At 44.8% G+C, this 18,134-nt stretch overlaps 1 protein-coding gene across 1 annotated transcript in view; it reads left to right on the top strand.

Moving 5' to 3' along the window:
- The window catches only part of ITIH6 (inter-alpha-trypsin inhibitor heavy chain family member 6), a 49,338-nt gene that overhangs the window by 5,851 nt on the left and 25,353 nt on the right, over positions 1-18,134 (top strand). Inside the window, exons 3-5 of the mRNA NM_198510.3 lie at positions 369-479; positions 1,321-1,568; positions 3,756-3,925. Coding sequence (NP_940912.1) covers positions 369-479; positions 1,321-1,568; positions 3,756-3,925 — 529 coding nt within the window. The remainder of the gene's footprint in view (positions 1-368; positions 480-1,320; positions 1,569-3,755; positions 3,926-18,134) is intronic.

Genomic DNA, 18,134 nt, shown 5'->3' with positions numbered 1-18,134 from the left:
CATAACAATTATAATAAAAATATTCGGTTATATCGTACCTAAAATTATGCTGTGTGCCAAAAGGTAGAATTCATTCAACACTTTGGGAAACACAAGACTCTAACAACCAGATCCACCATATGCTGTGTGGCCTCTATTTCCCCATCTGACAAATGGAGATAATGATAACTACTTCACTCTGTTATCTCCCTCTCCTTTCCTCTTCTTCTCTTCTTGCCGCTCACACTGGGGCTTTATGGCACTGTGTTGTTCTTTCTCTTTCCCTATCTCTACCCTCCTCTTTCTACCTCATGTGTCTCTTTCTCTGTCTCTGACCAACTCTTTATTTTCTCTGTCTCTACTGTCCCTCCTCTTTCCTGCCCCATTAGGACCATCAACAATAAAGTCTACATTGCAGAAGTCAAAGAGAAGCACCAGGCAAAGAAAATCTATGAAGAAGCCCATCAGCAGGGAAAGACAGCTGCTCATGTAGGCATCAGGTAAGGCCCCATCCAGTCCAAAACATGACTTAATCATCTTAGCTGTGTGATCAGGGGAGATGCACGTTCTCTCTGGTCCTCAGTCTCCATCTCTGCAGAGTGGGGACATGACCTCTACTTCACAGGATCATGTGAAGATGATGTGAGTTAATGAATATCAAAGCCTGTAACAGGGTGGGTGTTCAATAAATGGAAATTTACTTCCCCATTTCTACTTTTCTACTGTCAGCAGATTGTGGCTTATTTAAGAATTGGCACCTTCCAGGAAGGTTATATGCAAGTGAGATTTTTCTAAATTGAATTTTGTTTCCTGAGTTCCATTCAGCGGGCAGAAATGTATTGTCTTCCTTCAGTGTTTCCTCCCAGCTTCCAAGAGAGTTTCATGGAGCAAACACTTTAGCTTTGGCTCCAGCAAACTGAGTTACTGCCATATAAACAAGCTCCTTCAAAAGCATAGGGGAGAGGATAGTAGGAGGGTCTATTTGAAGGGGCTGAGGCATTGTATGTAAATTGAAAACTCTTTTGTAAAATGAATCATTAGACCCTAGTTGGTCTGTTATATATTCAGATTTTGATGGACTAAGTTCCCTTAAGGGTGGACCACCTGTGAGATAATTTCTCAAGCAGAATATTTAGGAGGCTGAATGAGGGAGGGAGGGAGAGAGAGACTGATAAGTGGATGCATGGATGACGGACCATGAGCCAGTGACTCAGTTGAACCAGAAGCCTAGTCAGGTCGGCTGGGACCAGGGTTGGGGGGAGCAAAACTAGGTCATCTAACAGCCCCTGTACTCCTCTGAAGGTCCCTTTCTCTTCCCACCATCCTCCCTTTCCTGCCCAGGGACCGGGAATCAGAGAAGTTCCGCATCTCCACCAGCCTGGCAGCAGGCACAGAGGTGACTTTTTCCCTGGCCTATGAGGAACTGCTTCAGCGGCACCAGGGCCAGTACCAGCTGGTGGTGAGCCTGAGGCCTGGCCAATTGGTGAAGAGGCTGAGCATAGAGGTTACAGTGTCAGAAAGGACAGGCATCTCCTATGTGCACATACCACCCCTGAGGACCGGCCGTCTGCGCACCAATGCCCATGCAAGTATGTGGGCAGCACTATGGGTCACCCATCAGACTGGCCTTCACTGAATGAAAACCTTATCGATTCCACTGGGTTTCCCTCTAGTGCCACTTCTGCTCTGTACTCACTGCCAAGTTCCTTCCTGATTCAGTGAGAAGAGGGCATGTTTGAAGGTGAAAATATTTGGATTTTAACCTTGGCCTGGTCCTTACAGGCTATATGACCTGGCACATTAGAAACTTCCCAGACTCTTGATTTCCCTAAAAAAAAAAAAATCAGTGATAAGGGAGGGTTTGTTGGGTGGGCTAATGAAATTAAATCATATGTTAACCATGTTGAAGGCTGTAGAAGCCACACTGGCCAAATCACGCTTTTCCCTGGATCCCCACTGAGAATGGCAGGAGAGTGAGTGCACAGCAAGTGCAGGCTCCCTGGAGGACACCATCTCAGGCCCTGGAGGGAAGAGAAGCATCCTGCCTCAGAAGTTTGCTTCAAATGTCACCTAGAGGTTTTGGAAGCCCAGACTGGCTACATCAGAATCACAACATGGGCTCCTAGAAATGCAGATTCCTGGAGCCCAGCCTTCAGGGTCTGGTTCAGTAGCATGGGGGTGGGGCCCAGGAAGCTGTGTCATCAACCAGTCTCAGGGGACATTGACATCCAGCCAGGTTGGAGAATCACGGAGCTGGCCTGCTCACCTCATCTGAGAGATGAGAGGACAGGTGCAGAGAAATCCCTGGCTCATGTGGCAGCCCCTCCAAAGCTGTTTAGCATTGGAGGTCCCAACTCATTCGACTCTGTTGACCCAGAGAGGCACTGGGGTGGACAGTGGATGTAACAGACACAGACAGACACACAGACTGGATCCAAATCCCAGTGCTGACACTCCCCTAATGTGGGACGATCAAAGCCAGTCACTCCATTGCTCGACTTCACTTTTCCCATCTGTAAAATGGACGAGATGCCATCTACAGCTCAGGACCACTGTGAGACTTTGAGAGAATTCCTCCCTCCCAACTACGTGGTGCAGAGAAGATTGCACGATCATTCTACTCATTAGCATTAGGTGGCACTCACTGAGATGCAGGTATGGCTCCAAACGCTTTACATGAATGGCCTCATTTATTTCCCACAAGCACTGCCTATGAAGTAGGAGCTGTGGTCATGCCTGTGCTGTAGATGAGGAGCCAGAGGCTTAGAGAGAATGAGTCGCTTGTCCAGGGACACACAGCAGCAGCTGGAACCTGGACCCACAGGCCATTTGAGTCCGGGCAGGCCGCACTCTTCAGCCCTAAGCTATAAATGGCAGATCCCTCCCCCATTCTCCTTAAAGGTTAAAACAGAGGGTAGGACCAATCCTGTGGGGGAGAAAACAGAACAAAGAGCTCTGAGAGGAAGGAAGCCAAGGGAATGTATGTGAGCAGGCGCCTCAGAGAGTATGGGGCTCAGTGTGCCCCTGAGCTTCCTGACAGCTGTGGCAGGAAGGAGGGGGAGCAGAATTCCCAAGTTTCCATTTTCTGGAAAAAAAGGAGGCACAGTGACATTTCTAAATGGACATTTGTCTTGGATTCCAGAGGAGTTGATCTTGTGGCCAGCTCAGCAAACATCCGGGACTAGAGAGTCATCTGTGATTTCATGAGACTCTAAAAGGCTTGTTCACACACATGATGCCCAGAGTCAGAAGGCAGAGAGGGAAGAAGAAATATGAAATCCGACCCAGAGGACAACCTTGCTAGGCTGCTGTTTCCCACAGCAGTGGGGGAATGAGAGGAGACCTAGACCTTGTCTGTGTGTCTGTCTGTCTGTCTCCTGGACACACACTGACTGCACTGCCTCTCTGGGAGGAGGCGAGGGCTGCTGGCGTACCTCCGGACATGCCACGCCTCCAAAGACTTGGCCCCAGGTTGCACGGAAAATGAAGCAGGGTGAGGTTGCCAGTGAGGGCCACATTGCCAGGGCCTGGGAGCTGATGGCCAGGTTGGGTCTGTCCGGCTAGGCTCAATGGAGGATGCAGAGAGGAGCTGGCTGTGGGACTGGGAGAGGAGCATGGGGCAGGTGGAAAGATGTAGGCAGGAGGCACCAGAGGTTTGGGGAAGAGTTAGACTTCTCACCCTCCCCAGATAGCACCCTTTGTGCTGCCCTTTCCCTGGTTCTTCTGTCTTGCGAGTCCTCTGTACCACCCCGCCCCGATCCTCCCCACCCATACAGGTGAGGTGGATTCACCCCCATCCACCAGGATCGAGAGGGGAGAGACCTGTGTCCGAATCACCTACTGCCCGACATTGCAAGACCAGTCGTCCATCTCTGGGTCAGGCATCATGGCTGACTTCCTGGTTCAGTACGATGTGGTCATGGAGGACATCATTGGAGACGTGCAGGTGAGGGGGCCTGGGGAAGAGGAGAGAGGATGGGCTCTGGAGTCAGACAGGCCTGAGCATTAGGCCTCTCCAGCTGTTCACACCAGTTTCCCTAGAGATAAGCAAGGGCTAGGGAACAAGGATAGGCTGACGTGAAAAGACACACGGCTTCAACTTTGGGAGGCACATCAAATCCCCCAAAGGGTTGGAGACCTGGAACTGTCTCCAGTGAATCAAGTGCCCAAAGGACCCATCCCTAACTGAATCAAGTCATAGCCTACTCGAAAACAGTCCTTCTGCAAAGTAAACCCTTGGCCACTAATTGGGCACCTAAGCTTATGGATTCTCACGCGTTCTGCAGCTCCTATACTCTCCTGTGTTCTCTTGGGCTTCCTTGCTCTCTCTCGGCTTTTAACAATCCTTATTGCTTCAGTGGAGCCATCTGCCTAAACAGAGAGTCCTTCAGTTCTGAGTTTCCACATTCATGAAGAAAGAGCAGAGGTCCCACACTCTCCCAGATGGGAAAGCACAGAGCACCGATCCCAGGGCCCTGGCTTGAGCACAAGGATGGCGGGGTAGCCTGAGACATCTGGTTCCACTCTGCCTCTCCCACCACAGGACTCTCAACCCCAGCACACAAACCACCCTCCAGCTGCCCCACACCATATCACACCTTTCTCCAAAACACCCAAGCCTGCCTCTCCTCTGTGTGAGGATTTGTTCATAGTGGCCGCTGCCCTGAGAATGACTTCTTCCTCCTTGCTCCACTGCTCAGCATCCTCGTGTTCCTGAAACACTGCCGAAACACCTCCTCCTTGATGACTCCAGTCCACCAACAATTCGTTTGTCTGCCCTGGACTAAAAATGACCTATGGTTGAACGTTTTCTCATGCAACATTCATTCATTCATATGTTGAATGAATATGTGAACTAGGCCAGTCCTGTACTCATTGACTCTGACAACTCAGAAGTGAGTCGGACACAGCCACTCATCTCCCTCTGCCATCACCCCATCCTGAAGCACCCAGATACACAGAGCCTTGTCGGTCATCAAATGTTCTAGGTGCTGTGTTTGAGTGTGTCATGGATTCTGCAGAGGTGCCAGTGGAGGAGGGTTTCAGGGCCGTCATCCTAAAGGAGTTGGAATTTAAGTAAGCATGGGAAAAATGAATTGGATATATCTGCAAGTCAGTCAGTCAGGTGAAGGGAAAGACATGCAGAGAGAAGGAACAGCATGTGCAGAGGCACAGAGGTGTGGCTCAGTCTGTTGTGCAGGAGGAATAAAAGTTATTCTCCTGCCAGGATAGGAGCCAAGGGTACCTTGCCAGCAGGTGGCAGCAGGGGCTTTAACCTGGTGTTCTGTCATGTGGGTGTGTTTAGCTCATGGAGGTATGCCTCTGCAGGTTTATTCTTTACCATTAACACAGCTGCCTGCAGTTGAAATACAGATGGAAGGCATTGACTAGTACAACCAGGAACTCCCATGCACCGTGAGCCCTTACCCCTCCTGACACCCCGCCAGGAACACTCAGTTCATCCCCCACTTCCTACTTGAGTGTGCCCTTCGTTCAAAGCCCAGCACATCATCAGATCATCCACCCCGCTGGGGCTCACTGGGCACCTAATCTGTGTCATACCTTGAGTTGGCCAACGTTGGGAACCCGGAAGGGTATCACACACACAGCCTACTTATCGTCTCTGAGTGAGATGCAGAAACCCAATACTGACACTAAGGTAGAAGTGCCCTTTCCATGACACACAAGGTAAGATGGAAGCCATAATGAAGAGGAAAGCCAGTTCCAGAAGGCTCCCTGAAGGCAACCAAGGCTGACCTGTGTGTTACGGAATGAATAAAAGTGGGCCATGGGAGGGGGCCTGTGGGAGGGAAAGGCATTCCGGCAAAGTGGGGGCCGCACGAGAAAAGAAACAGGCTAAAACTCACCAAACGTGTGTATGGAATTGCAAATAGCTTGGCGTTCTGGAGCAGAGATTTGAGATGAAAAACCCAAAGAGCCACATAGAAGGCTGGAGAGTCCTGCAGGGCAACGAAAGGAACATGGGATTTGTCCTGTAGGTGACCAGGGAGCCATGAGATAAAATGACATTGTGAGGTCGTGTTTACAGGGTCCCAGCCACTGCCTCCAAGCAGCATGGATGGGAGAGGTCGCAGTAGAAGAAGGAAACCTGAGACGAATGAGGCCTGAGCTTGGGCTTTGTCAGTTAGGGATGAAGAGGAGGGTGGCCTGGAGAAGTATCCAGCAGAGAAAAGCAACAGGAGGCTGATTGGCTGTGGGGAATGGGGGCCACCCGAGGATTGAAGGCAACACTCAGATTTGTCTCCAGAGTGACCATGTGGATGATGGTGCCCCTGACCAGGAAGGCATAAAAGGGCCACGTGGGGGCAGTACAACGAATTCACTGCTTGGGCAGGATGCATCAGAGGCTTCTTGAAACATCCTGGGGCACATGTCCAACAGTGAGTGTGCACCCACTGGTGAGGGGCAACTGTGGGAGCCCTAGACGGGAGAAGAGATGCAGAGTGATTGATAGGGGTTCTGTGGTGGAAGCCAAGTGACAAAGGGAGGTCACCCAGGGAGCATGTGTGGAGCCAGAAGGGAAAATCCCTGAAGGCAAAGCTAAGGTGAAGCAGCCCAATCCAGCAGCTATGGATACCCTCAGCTGCCCCATCAACTGCACACAGCTGCCCAGAGCCCCAGTCCCCAGCAGTTCACTCCACTGAGCTGCACCAGCATAATCATTTTCTTTTCATGCTTTGACCTGACAAATAATGGGAAGCACTGCGAAGGGAGTGGGCAGACAGAGGCGGTAGGAGAATAAGGAGAGTTCACTGTCGCAGATCGCAGGGGAAACGACTTTTGAAGACAGCAGAAGTCATCCATGTTCAACTGTGACATTCATGGGCCGGGAAGGCAGTCCCAAGAGACTCAAAATACAGACATTGGGTTTGTTTTTTAGTAAAGTTGTTACTTTTAATTTTTGAGGGTACACAGTAGGTGTATATATTTATGGGTTAAGTGAGATGTTTTGGTACAGGCATGCAATCTGTAATAATCACATCACACGGTACCGATTCCCTCAAGCATGTATCCCTGTGTTACAAACAATCCACTTAATACTCTTTTACTTATTTTTAAATGTACAATTAAAGTATTATTGACTATAGTCACCCTGTCTTGCTATCAAATACTAAGTCTTATCCATTATTTCTCACTTTTCTTTGTACCCATTAACCATCCCTGCCTTCCCCACCCCCCATCTCCCCGCTACCCCACTCCCCGCAGCCTCTGGTAACCACTCTTCTACTCTCTATCTCCATGAGTTCAACGGCTTTCATTTTTTAGATCCCACTGATGAGTGATCTAAAAAATGCGAGATTTGTCTTTCTGTGCCTGGCTTATTTCAAGTCACATAATGATCTCCAGTTCCATTCATGTTGTTGCAAACGACAGGACCTCATTCTTTTTTGTGGCTGAATAGTACTCCATTGTGTATATGCACCACGTTTTCTTTATACATTCGTCTGTTGATGAACACTTAGGTTGTCTCCAAGTCTTGGCTATTGTGAACAGCACTGTAAGAAAAAGAAGGGTACAGACATCTCTTGGATACACTGATTTTCTTTATTTGGGGTATATACCCAGAAGTGGAATGGCCGGATTGTATGATGAAGCCCTAATTTTTAGTTTATTGAGGAGCCTCCAAACTGTTCTCCATATGGTTCTACTAATTTACATTCCCACCAACTGTGTATGGGGGTCCCTTTTCTCCACATCCTCGCCGGCATTTCTTATTGCCTGTCTCTGGGATAGAAGCCATTTTAGCTGAGGTGAGATGATATCTCATTGTAGTTTTTGACTTTCACTTCTCTGATGATCAGTGATGTTGAGCACCTTTTCATATGTCTGTTTGCCATTTGTATGTCTTCTTTTGAGAAATATCTATTCAAATCTTTTGCCCTTTTTTGATTGGATTTTTAGATTTTTTTCCTATGGAGTTGTTTGAGCTCCTTATATATTCTGGTTATTAATCCCTTGTGAAATGGGTAGTTTGCAAATATTTTGTCCCATTCTGTGGGTTGTCTCTTCACTTTGTTTATCATTTCCCTTGCAGTGTAGAAGCTTTTTAACTTGATGTGATCCCATTTGTCCACTTTTACTACGGTTGCTTGTGCTTATTGGGCATTATTCAAGAAATTTTTGCCCAAACCAATGCCCTGGCGATTTTCCCAAGGTTTTCTTGTAGTATTAATAGTATCATAGTTTGAGGTCTGAGATTGAAGTCTTTAATCAATTTTGATTTGATTTTTGTATATGGTGAGAGAGAGGTCTAGTTTCATTATTCTGCATATGGATATCCAGTTTTCCCAGCACCATTTATTGAGGCGACTGTTCTTTCCCCAATGTATGTTCTTGGCACCTGTGTTGAAAATCATTTCACTATAGATTAGTGTATTTGTTTCTGGGTTCTCTATTCCTTTCCATCGGTCTATGTGTCTGTTTCTATCCCAGTACCAATCTGTTTTTGTTGCTATAGCTCTGCCGTATAATTTGAAGTCAGATAATGTGATTCCTCCAGTTTTGTTCTTCTGGTTTAGGATAGCTTTGGTTATTCTGGGTCTTTTCTGGTTCCATTTAGATTTTAGGATTGTTTTTTCAATGTCTGTGAAGAATGTCATTGCGATTTTGATAGGGATTGCTTTGAATCTGTAGATTGCTTTGGGTAGTATGGACACTTTAACAATATTGAGTCTTCCAATCCATGAACATGGAATATCTTTCCATTTTTTAGTGTCCTCTTTGATTTCCTTTAACAGTGTTTTATACTTTTCATTATAGAGATGTTTCACTTCTTTGGTTAAGTTAATTCCTAGTGTTTAATTTTGTTTGTGGCTATTATAAATAGGGTTTCTTTTTAATTTTCTTTTTCAGATTGTTCACTGTTGGCATATAGAAATGCTACTGATTTTATTTTGTTGATTTTGTATCCTGCAACTTTCCTGCATTTGTTTATCAGTTCTAATATATTTTGTGGGATCTTTAGGGTTTTCCAAGTATAAGATCATATCATCTGCAAACAAGGATAATTTGACTTATTCCTTTCCAATTCAGATGCCCTTTATTTCTTTCTCTTGTCTGATTGCTCTAGGTAGGCCTTCCAGTACTTTGTGGAATAACAGTGGTGAAAGTGAGCATCCGTGTCGTGCTCCAGTCCTTAGGGGAAAGGCTTTCAGTTTTTCCCCATTCAGTATGATACTAGCTGTGGGTCTGTCATATATGGCTTTTATTATATTGAGGTATGTTCCTTCTATCCCCAGTGTTTTGAAGGTTTTTGTCATGAAGAAATGTTGAGTTTTATTAAATGCTTTTTCAGCATCAATTGAAATGATCATATGGTTTCTGTCCTTCATTCAGTTGATATAATGTATCACATTGATTGCTTTGCATATATTGACCCATCCTTGCATCCCAGGGATAAATCCCACTTGGTCATAATGATCTTTTGAGTGTGTTATTGAGTTAAGTTTGTTAGTATTTTGTTGAGGACATGCACATCCATATTCATCAGAGTCGTTGGCCTATAGTTTTCATTTTTTGATGTGTCTTTGTCTGGTTTTGGTATCAGGGCAATACTGACCATGTAGAATGAGTTTGGAAGTATTCCATCATCCTCTATTTTTTGTAATAATTTGAGTAGGATTTGTATTAGTTATTCTTTAACTGTTTGGTAGAATTCAGTGGTGAAGTCATCAGGTCCTGGGCCTTTCTTTACTGGGAGATTTTTTTATCATGGCTTTGTTCTTGTTGCATGTTATTGTTCTGTTCATGTTTGAATTTCTTCATGCTGCAGTGATGGTTAGGTTGTATGTGTCTAGGAATTTGTCCATTTCTTCTAGATTTTCTTTTTGTTAATTTAACTTTTAAGTTCAAGGGTACACATAAAGGTTTGTTATATAGGTAAATGTGGGTCATGGGGGTTTGTTTTACAGACACCCCATGTTGTCACCCCAGTATTAAGCCTAGTACCCATTAGTTATTTTTATTTAATTATTATTATTATTATTTTGAGACAGAGTTTCGCTCTTGTTGCCCAGGCTGGAGTGCAATGGCACAATCTCGGCTCACCACAACCTCGGTCTCCTGCGTTCAAGCGATTCTCCTGCCTCAGCCTCTTGAGTAGCTGGGATTACAGGCATGCACCACCACGCCCTGCTAATTTTGTATTTTTAGTAGAGATGGGGTTTCTCCATGTTGGTCAGGCTGATCTCGAACTCCTTACCTCAGGTGATCTGCCTGCCTCAGTTTCTGAAAGTGCTGAGATTACAGGCATGAGCCACTGTGTCCAACCCCATTAGTTATTTTTCCTGATTCTCACTCTCCTACCACCCTCCAGAGGGTGCTCTGACAGGCCCCAGTGTGTGTTATTCCCCTCTATGTGTCCATGTATTCTCATTATTTAGCTCCCACTCATAATTGAGGACATGCAGTATTTGGTTTTCTGTTCGTGTGTTAGTTTGCTAAGGATAATGGCCTCCAGCTTCTTCTCTGTTCCTGTTAAAAACATAATCTCATTGTTTTGAATGGTTGCATACTATTTCATGGTGTATATGTACCATATTTTCTTATCCAGTCTATCACTGATGGACATTTAGGTTGATTCCAAGTCTTTGCTATTGTATATAGTGCTGCAATGGACATACATGTGCATGTGTCTTTATAATAGAAAAACTTACAATCCTTTGATTATATACCCAGTAATGGGATTGCTGGGTCAAATGCTATTTCTGATTTTAGGTTTTTGAGGAATTGCAACACTGTCTTCCATAGTGGTTGAACCAACTTATGCTCTCACCAACAGTGTTTAAGCATTCCCTTTTCTCTGCAATCTTGCCTTCATCTGTTGTTTTTGGACTTTTTAACAGTAGCCATTCTGACTGGTTGTGAGATGGTGTCTCATTGTGGTTTTGATTTGTGTTTCTCTAATGATCAACGATGTTGAGCTTTTTTTCATATGGTTGTTAGCCGCATGTATGTCTTCTTTTGAGAAGTGTCTGTTCATGCCTTTCCTTACTTTTTAATGTGGCTGCTTGTTTTTTTTCTTGTAAATTTGTTTAAGTTCCTTATAGATGCTGCATATTAGACCTTTGCCAGATGCATAGTTTGCAAACATTTTCTTATGTCTGTTCACTCTGTTGATGGTTTTCTTTGCTATGTAGAAGCTGTTTAGTTTAATTGGATCCCACTTGTCTCTTTTTGCTTTTGTTGCAACTGCTTTTGGCGTCTTCATCATGAAATCTTTGCCCTTTCCTATGTCCAGAATGCTATTGCCTAGATTGTCTTCCAGGGTTTTTATAGTTTTGGGTTTTACGTTTAAGTTTTTAAACCATCTTGAGTTAATTTTTGTATATGGTATGAGGAAGGGGTCCAGTTTCATTTTTCTGCAAATGGCTTGCCTGTTATCCCACCACCATTTACTGAATAGGAAACTCTTTCCTCATTGCTTGTTTTTGTCAGGTTTGTTGAAAATCAGATAGTTGCAGGTGTGTGGCCTTATTTCTGGGTTCTCTAGCCTCTTCTAGATTTTCTAACTTATTGGCATATAATTGCTCATAGTAGGCATTAATGATCCTTTGAATTTCTGCAGTATCATTTTGTAATGTCTACTTTCTCATCTGATTTTATTTATTTGGATCTTCTCTTTTTTTAACTAGTCGGGGTAAAGGTTTGTCAATTTTGTTAAACTTAAAAAAAAAACTCTTTTTGTTTCCTTGATCTTTTTATTGTTTTCGTCACTTCAATTTCTTTATTTGTGCTCTAATCTTTATTAGTTGTTTCCTTCTACTAATTTAGGGTTTGGTTTGCTCTTGCTTTTCTAGTTCCTTAAGATGCATCATTATGTTGTTTACATTTTTCTTCTTATTTGATGTAGGCACTTACAGCTATAAAGTTCCCTCTGAGAACTGCTTTTGCTGTATCTCATAGGTTTTGGCATGTTGTCTTTACATTGTCATCTGTTTTGAGAAATTTTTTAATTTCTTTCTGAATTTCTTCATTGACCCACTGTTCATTCAGGAGCATGTTGTTTAATTTCCATGTATTTCTATATCTTCCAAAGTTCCTTTTGTTATTGATTTTTAGTGTTATTCCATTGTGGTCAGAGAAGATGCTTGATGGTATTTCAATTGTTTTGAATTTTGAGTCTTGCTTTGTGACCTGATATATCGTCTGTCTTTGAGAATGAACCATGTGCTGAAGAAAAGAATGCATATTCTGCAGCCATTGGATGAAATGTTCTATAAATATCTATTAGGTTTCTGATCTATAGTGCAGATTAAGTCTGATGTTTCCTTGTTGATTTTCTGCCTGGAAGATGTCCAGTGCCAAATGTGGGGTCTTGAGGACTCTAGCGATTATCATGTTGGAGTCTATCTCTCCCTTTAGCTCTAATAATATTTACCTTATATATCTTGGTTCTCCAGTGTTGGGTACATATATTTTCACAATTGTTACATCCTCTTGCTAAATCGACCCCTTTATCATTATATTGCTACCTTCTTTGTCTCTTCTTATAGATTTTTTCTCTGTATGGCTCCTCCTCATCTTTTTTGTTTGTTTCCACTGGCATGGAATATCATCTTCCATCTCTTTATTTGTAGTCTATGTGTGTCTTATAGATGAAATGTTTTTCTTATAGGCAACAGATCAGTGGGTCTTATTTTTTTTAATCCATTCAGTCACTCTATGTCTTTTGATTGGAGAGTTAAGCCCATTTACATTCGATGTGATTATTGACAAGTAAGGACTTACTCCTGCCATTTTGTTATTGGTTTTCCTACTTTTTGTGGTCTGCTCATCCTTTTTTTTCCTTCCTGTCTTCCTTTTAGCAAGATTATTTTCTTTGGTAATATGATTTAGTTTCTTACTTTTTTATTTTCTGTGTATCTGTTGTATGTTTTTTGTTTTGAGGTTACCATGAGGCCTGTAAATACTATCTTATTAATCATTATTTTAAGCTGATAACAACTTAACACTGTTTGCACTAACAAACAAACAAAAAGAAAACTAATAAAAACTCTATGCCTTAACTTCATCCTCTTGCTTTTTATTTCTTTGTTGTTTCTATTTGTAACTTCTTGTACTATGTCTTGAAAAGTTGTTTAGTTAGTACTTTTGATTAGGTCATCATTCAGTATTTCTACTTAAGCATGAGAGTGGTTTATACACCACTGTTACAGTGTTATAATATTTTGTGTTTTTCTGTGTACTTACTATTGCCAGTAAGTTTTGTACCTTCAGATGATTATTTATTGCTCAGTAACATCCTTTACTGTCTGATTCAAGTACTCCCTTTAGCATTTCTTGTAGGACAGGTCTAGCAATGATGAAATCCCTCAGCTCTTTTTTGTCTGGGAAACTCTTTATTTCTCTTTCACGTTTGAGGGATATTTTCTCCAGATATACTATTCTAGGGTAAAAGTAGTTTTTTCCTTCAGCATTTTAAATACATCATGACACTCTCTCAGCCTTAAAGGTTTCCACTGAAAAGTCTGCTGACAGAAATATTGGAGATGTCTGTTATTTGTTTCTCTTCTCTTGCTGCTTTTAGGATCCTTTCTTTATCCTTGTCCTTTGGGAGTTTGATTATAAAATTCCTCAAAGTAGTCTTTTTTGGGTAAAATCTGCTTGGTGTTCTGGTAGCTTCTTGTATCTGGATATTGATATCTTTCTCTCAGTTTGGAAAGTTCTCTGTTATTATCCCTCTGAATAAACTTTCTACCCCTATCTCTTTCTCTATCTCCTCATTAGGGCCACTAACTCTTAGATTTGCCTATCTGTGGCTATTTTCTAGATCATGTAGGCATGCTTCATTGCTTCTTATTCTTTTTACTTTTGTCTCTTCTTACTGTTTATTTTCAAATAGCCTATCTTGTAATTCACTAATTGTTTTTTCTGGTTGAACAATTCTGCTTTTAAAAAACTCAGGTGCAGGCCGGGTGCAGTGGCTCATGCCTTTAAACCCAGCACTTTGGGATGCTGAGACGGGTGGACCACTTGAAGTCAGGACTTTGAGACCAGCCTGGACAACATAGTGAAACCTTGTCTCTACTAAAAATACAAAAATTAGCCGGGCATGGTGGTGCATGCCTGTAATCCCAGCTACTCGGGAGGCTGAGGCGGGAGAATCGCTTGAACCCAGGAGGCAGAGGTTGTAGTGAGCCAACATCGTGCCACTGCACTCCAGCCTGGGTGACGGAGGGAGACTCTGTCAAAAAAAAAAAAAAAAAAAGACTCTGGTGCATTCTTCAGTATGTCAATTGCATTTTCCAGAATTTCTGCTTGATTCTTTTAAATTATTGCAATCTCATTGCAATCTCTTTGTTACTTTCATCTGATAGAATTCTGAATGCCTTCTCTGTGTTATCTCAAATTTCTTTGAGTTTCCTCAACACAGCTATTTTGAATTCTGTGTCTGAAAGGTCACATATCTCTATTTCTTCAGAATTGGTCCCTGGTGACTTATTTAGTTTATTTGGTAATGTCATATATTTTCCTGGATTGTCATGATACTTTTAGATGTTCTTCTGTGTCTGGACATTGAAGAGTTAAGTATTTATTATAGTCTTCACAGTCTGAGCTTGCTTGTACCTGTCCTTCTTGGAAAGACTTTCCAGATATTCAAATGTACATACATGTTGTGATCTAAGCTGCATCTGCTTTAGGGGTCACCCCAAGCCTCGTAATGCTGTGGTTCTTGCAGACTCATAGAAGTATTGTCTTGATGGTCTTGGACAATATCTGGGAGAATTCTTTCCATTACCAGGCAGACTAATTCGCTTTCCTTACTTACTCCCAAACAGAGTCTCTCTCTCTCTCTCTCTGTTGTGAGCCACCTGAAGCAGGGGGTGTATTGACACAAGCACTCCTGTGGCCACCACCTATGACTGCGTTGGGTCAGACTTGAAGCCAGCACAGTACTGGGTCTCACCCAAAGCCTGCTGTAACCACATCCTGGCTTCCGCCTATGTTCACTCAAGACCCTGGGGCTGTACAATCAGAAAGTGTCAAAAACAACCAGGCCTGTGTCCTTCACTTTGGGATAGTGAGTTCCTTCAGGCCCTAGGTGGATCCAGAGGTGCCATCCAGGAGCCAGAGACTAGAGTCAAACTCCTTAGAATTCTACCTGGTGTTCTATTGTCCTGCTGGTAAACTGGCAGTCAAACCACAAGATACACTTCCTCTCACTCTGCCTTTCCCTTTTCAAAGGCAGAAGAGCCTCACCTCATGGCCATTGCCACCACAGGCTCACAAGGAGTACTGACAGACAACCACCGATTTTCCCTTAAGGCCCAAAGGTTCTTCAGTCAGCTTGTGGTATACGCTGCCTATCCTTAGCCTCACCTTTCAGGGCAGTAGGCTCTTCTCTGGCCTAGGGCAGGCCCGGAAGTTGGATTCTAGGCCATCCAAGAGCCCATGCCTAGAATCTAGGACCTCAAGAGCCTGCTTGGTGCTCTATACCCTTGTGGCCAAGCTGGTACTTAAGCTTCAAGACAGTGTCCAATTTACTTTCTCCTCTACTTTTGTAAAACATAAGCACTCTCCCAATAGCCACCGCAGCTTGGAATGTGCATCACCTAAAGCCAGCAAGTCTCAGAGTCTCACCCAAGGCCCTCAATGTAGTACCTGGGCATTATTGCTGGTTATTCAGGGCCCAAGGGCTCTTCATTTAGCAGGTGAAGAATGCAGCAAGAACTGGGTCCTTCCCTTCAAGGCAGCAGGTTTCCTTCTGGCCCAGGGTGTGTCTAGAAATGTGGTTTGGGAGTTAGGGCCTGGAAAGGGGGCCTCGCGACTCTTACTGGTGCCCTATCCTGCTGCAGCTGAGCTGGTATACAAGATGCAAGACAACGTCTTTTCCACTCTTCCCTCTCCAGTCTTCAAGCAGAATGAAGGGGTCTCTTTTGGAGCCACAAGCTGTGGAGCCTGGGGTTAGAGGAGGGGTGATGCTAGCACTCACTTAGCTGCCCTAGCTGCTATCTCGGTAGGTTGTGTGCCCCCTAAGTCCACTGTCTCTGGGCCCAGTTCAGCACTAGGCCCCTACTAGGAGTTGCAGTCCTTGTGTCTAGGCTGTCTTTCAAGTTTATTTAGAGCCCTAGAGCACTTTAGTCCATGGCGGTGAGGCTTGCAGGAACTCAAGTGCCAACAGCTGACATGCTGACATGGGTAATTCACGTGTAGCTAGGGCTGTTTTGAATGCTCCCTCCGTATGCAGGCATCAGCCGAGTTTGGTTCAGTTTTTTTTTTTTACTCCTCTAAGAGGGCAACACTGAGGTCAATGCCTCACAATAGCTGCACTCTCCCTCCCCCAACACACAGAAATGCTCTTGCCCACCGTGCCTCAGCTGCTGGGGGCAGAGTTGGAGGGTGGGGTAGGCGTGGTGTTGGCAATTCAAGACTGTTCTTTCTACCACTTCAGTGCCTCTTTCATTGATATGAAGTTAAAACCAGGTACTGAGCTTTTGGTTCTTTTGAAGGTGCTTATTTGTGTGTAGATGGTTGTTAAATTGGTGTCCTTCCTAGGGGGATGACGATCAGTGGAGCTTTTATTCCACCATCTTGCTTCACCCATCTTCCAGCCATTGAGTTTGGAGGCAAGTTAGTCACAGTTGCCTTTAGCAAGGGAAGTGTCTATGCGGGGTGGGCACAGTAGCCAGTCTGTGGTGGTCCCCAGGAGTGATCTGCACTTGAGCCCATTGAGGGTGCCCACTTTCTCAGCCTGTGATGCTTCAGGGAAAAAAGAGGCTAGAGAGAAGTTTGGGAGTGGACTGGGGACAAGAGCTAGTCTTAGTGCATGGAAAAGACAATAAAATTCTATATTTCAAGAAGACCCAGTGGGGTACATGTTAAATGGAGTTAGAGAGAGGGGACCTGAGGAGTACTGGAGGGGCTGGGCACTTGGAGTGCATGGGGTCCAAGGCAGGACCTCCTTTCCTTAGGCTGAGGGAGGAGGTTTATGGTGATGTGGACCCTCTAGAAGGGTGGGGTGGGCAATCAAAGTGTCCCTGGCTCCATGCTCTTAATTCTCTTCCTGAGTCAGGTGGGTAGGATGGAATGACTGCTAAAGTGACTGGGAGAGGTTGGTGAGCAAGGTCCTGCCCTTGAGTTATGTGATAGGAAGTGGGGGCCCTGGTGGGCATGGGATCGGGGAAAGATAAGCATGATTTTCCCAGAAGCACTCACCGGCCCAGGTATGGGAGGTGTGCAGAGGCCACTGGGTTCTGCTGTTGGCTTGGGCAGTTGTAATGTGGGTGACACAGGCCTTTTTGAACTGTACCAGAGTGCCAGGATTAGCAGAGACAGAGGCTGCAATTGCACATGTGAATTAATTCAAAGGCTGGGGTGGAGGGGGAAGAGCAGATGTCTTCCCATCTCCTCTTTCCTCTTCAGAGGGAAGAGGTAGTGTACAGCCTAATGGTCAGAGAGTGACTGAAGGGCAGAGAGGAGCAAAAGCCTGTGGCCCTGGGCAGAGCCTGCTTCAGCTTCAGGGTAGCACAGACCCTCAGCCAGCACAGACATCCCTGAGCTGAGCTGAGACTGGTCCTGAGGGGCCCTCCCAGCCCCCCTCCCCTCCCCTTCCCTCAGCTGTCCCAGCCCCGAGGCTCTGCAGAGGGAGGAATGGAGTGGGGGAGGGGAGTCAGCAGCCAATCACATCCAGGACAGCCCAAGGCATCTGTACCTGGTGTAACCAATCCCCTCTGAATAAACAGCTCACTCAGCTTAGGTTCCCTCCTCCTCTCCCTGCTCTGCCCAGCAACAGCAGAAAGGAGGTTTTAGGAGGAGAGGGAGGCCCTGCAACTCCCAGCCCCTGGCAGCAAAGAGCTGGGCCCCAGGCTCACTCTATACAGGGAGGTTAAAACAATACTTGGAGTTCCTGCAGCCCAGGCAAAATATCCCTAGGGACCTTCAAGGCTGTGCAAGCCCAACTCTCTCACAGACAGGAACTCACATATTACAGAGATCCTGATCCTTGGAGTCCTGGGCTACAAGCCAGTCTCATTCCCTCCACAGCTCTGGGGCAGGCCCCGGGATGAAGGTCTGAAGAGCTGAGACACGGTTCTAGTGAAGGAGATGGACAGTGAGCAAACAGTCACACACATGCCTGTTTAGAAACAGTGAGAAGTCCTGGGGAACAAAGCACAGTGTTATGCAGGAAAATA

The sequence above is a fragment of the Homo sapiens genome, chromosome X, assembly GCF_000001405.40.
Source record: "Homo sapiens chromosome X, GRCh38.p14 Primary Assembly".
NCBI lineage: Eukaryota > Metazoa > Chordata > Mammalia > Primates > Hominidae > Homo > Homo sapiens.
Note: the sequence above shows the minus strand (reverse complement) of the source record. Positions and strands in the feature narration are given on the sequence as shown.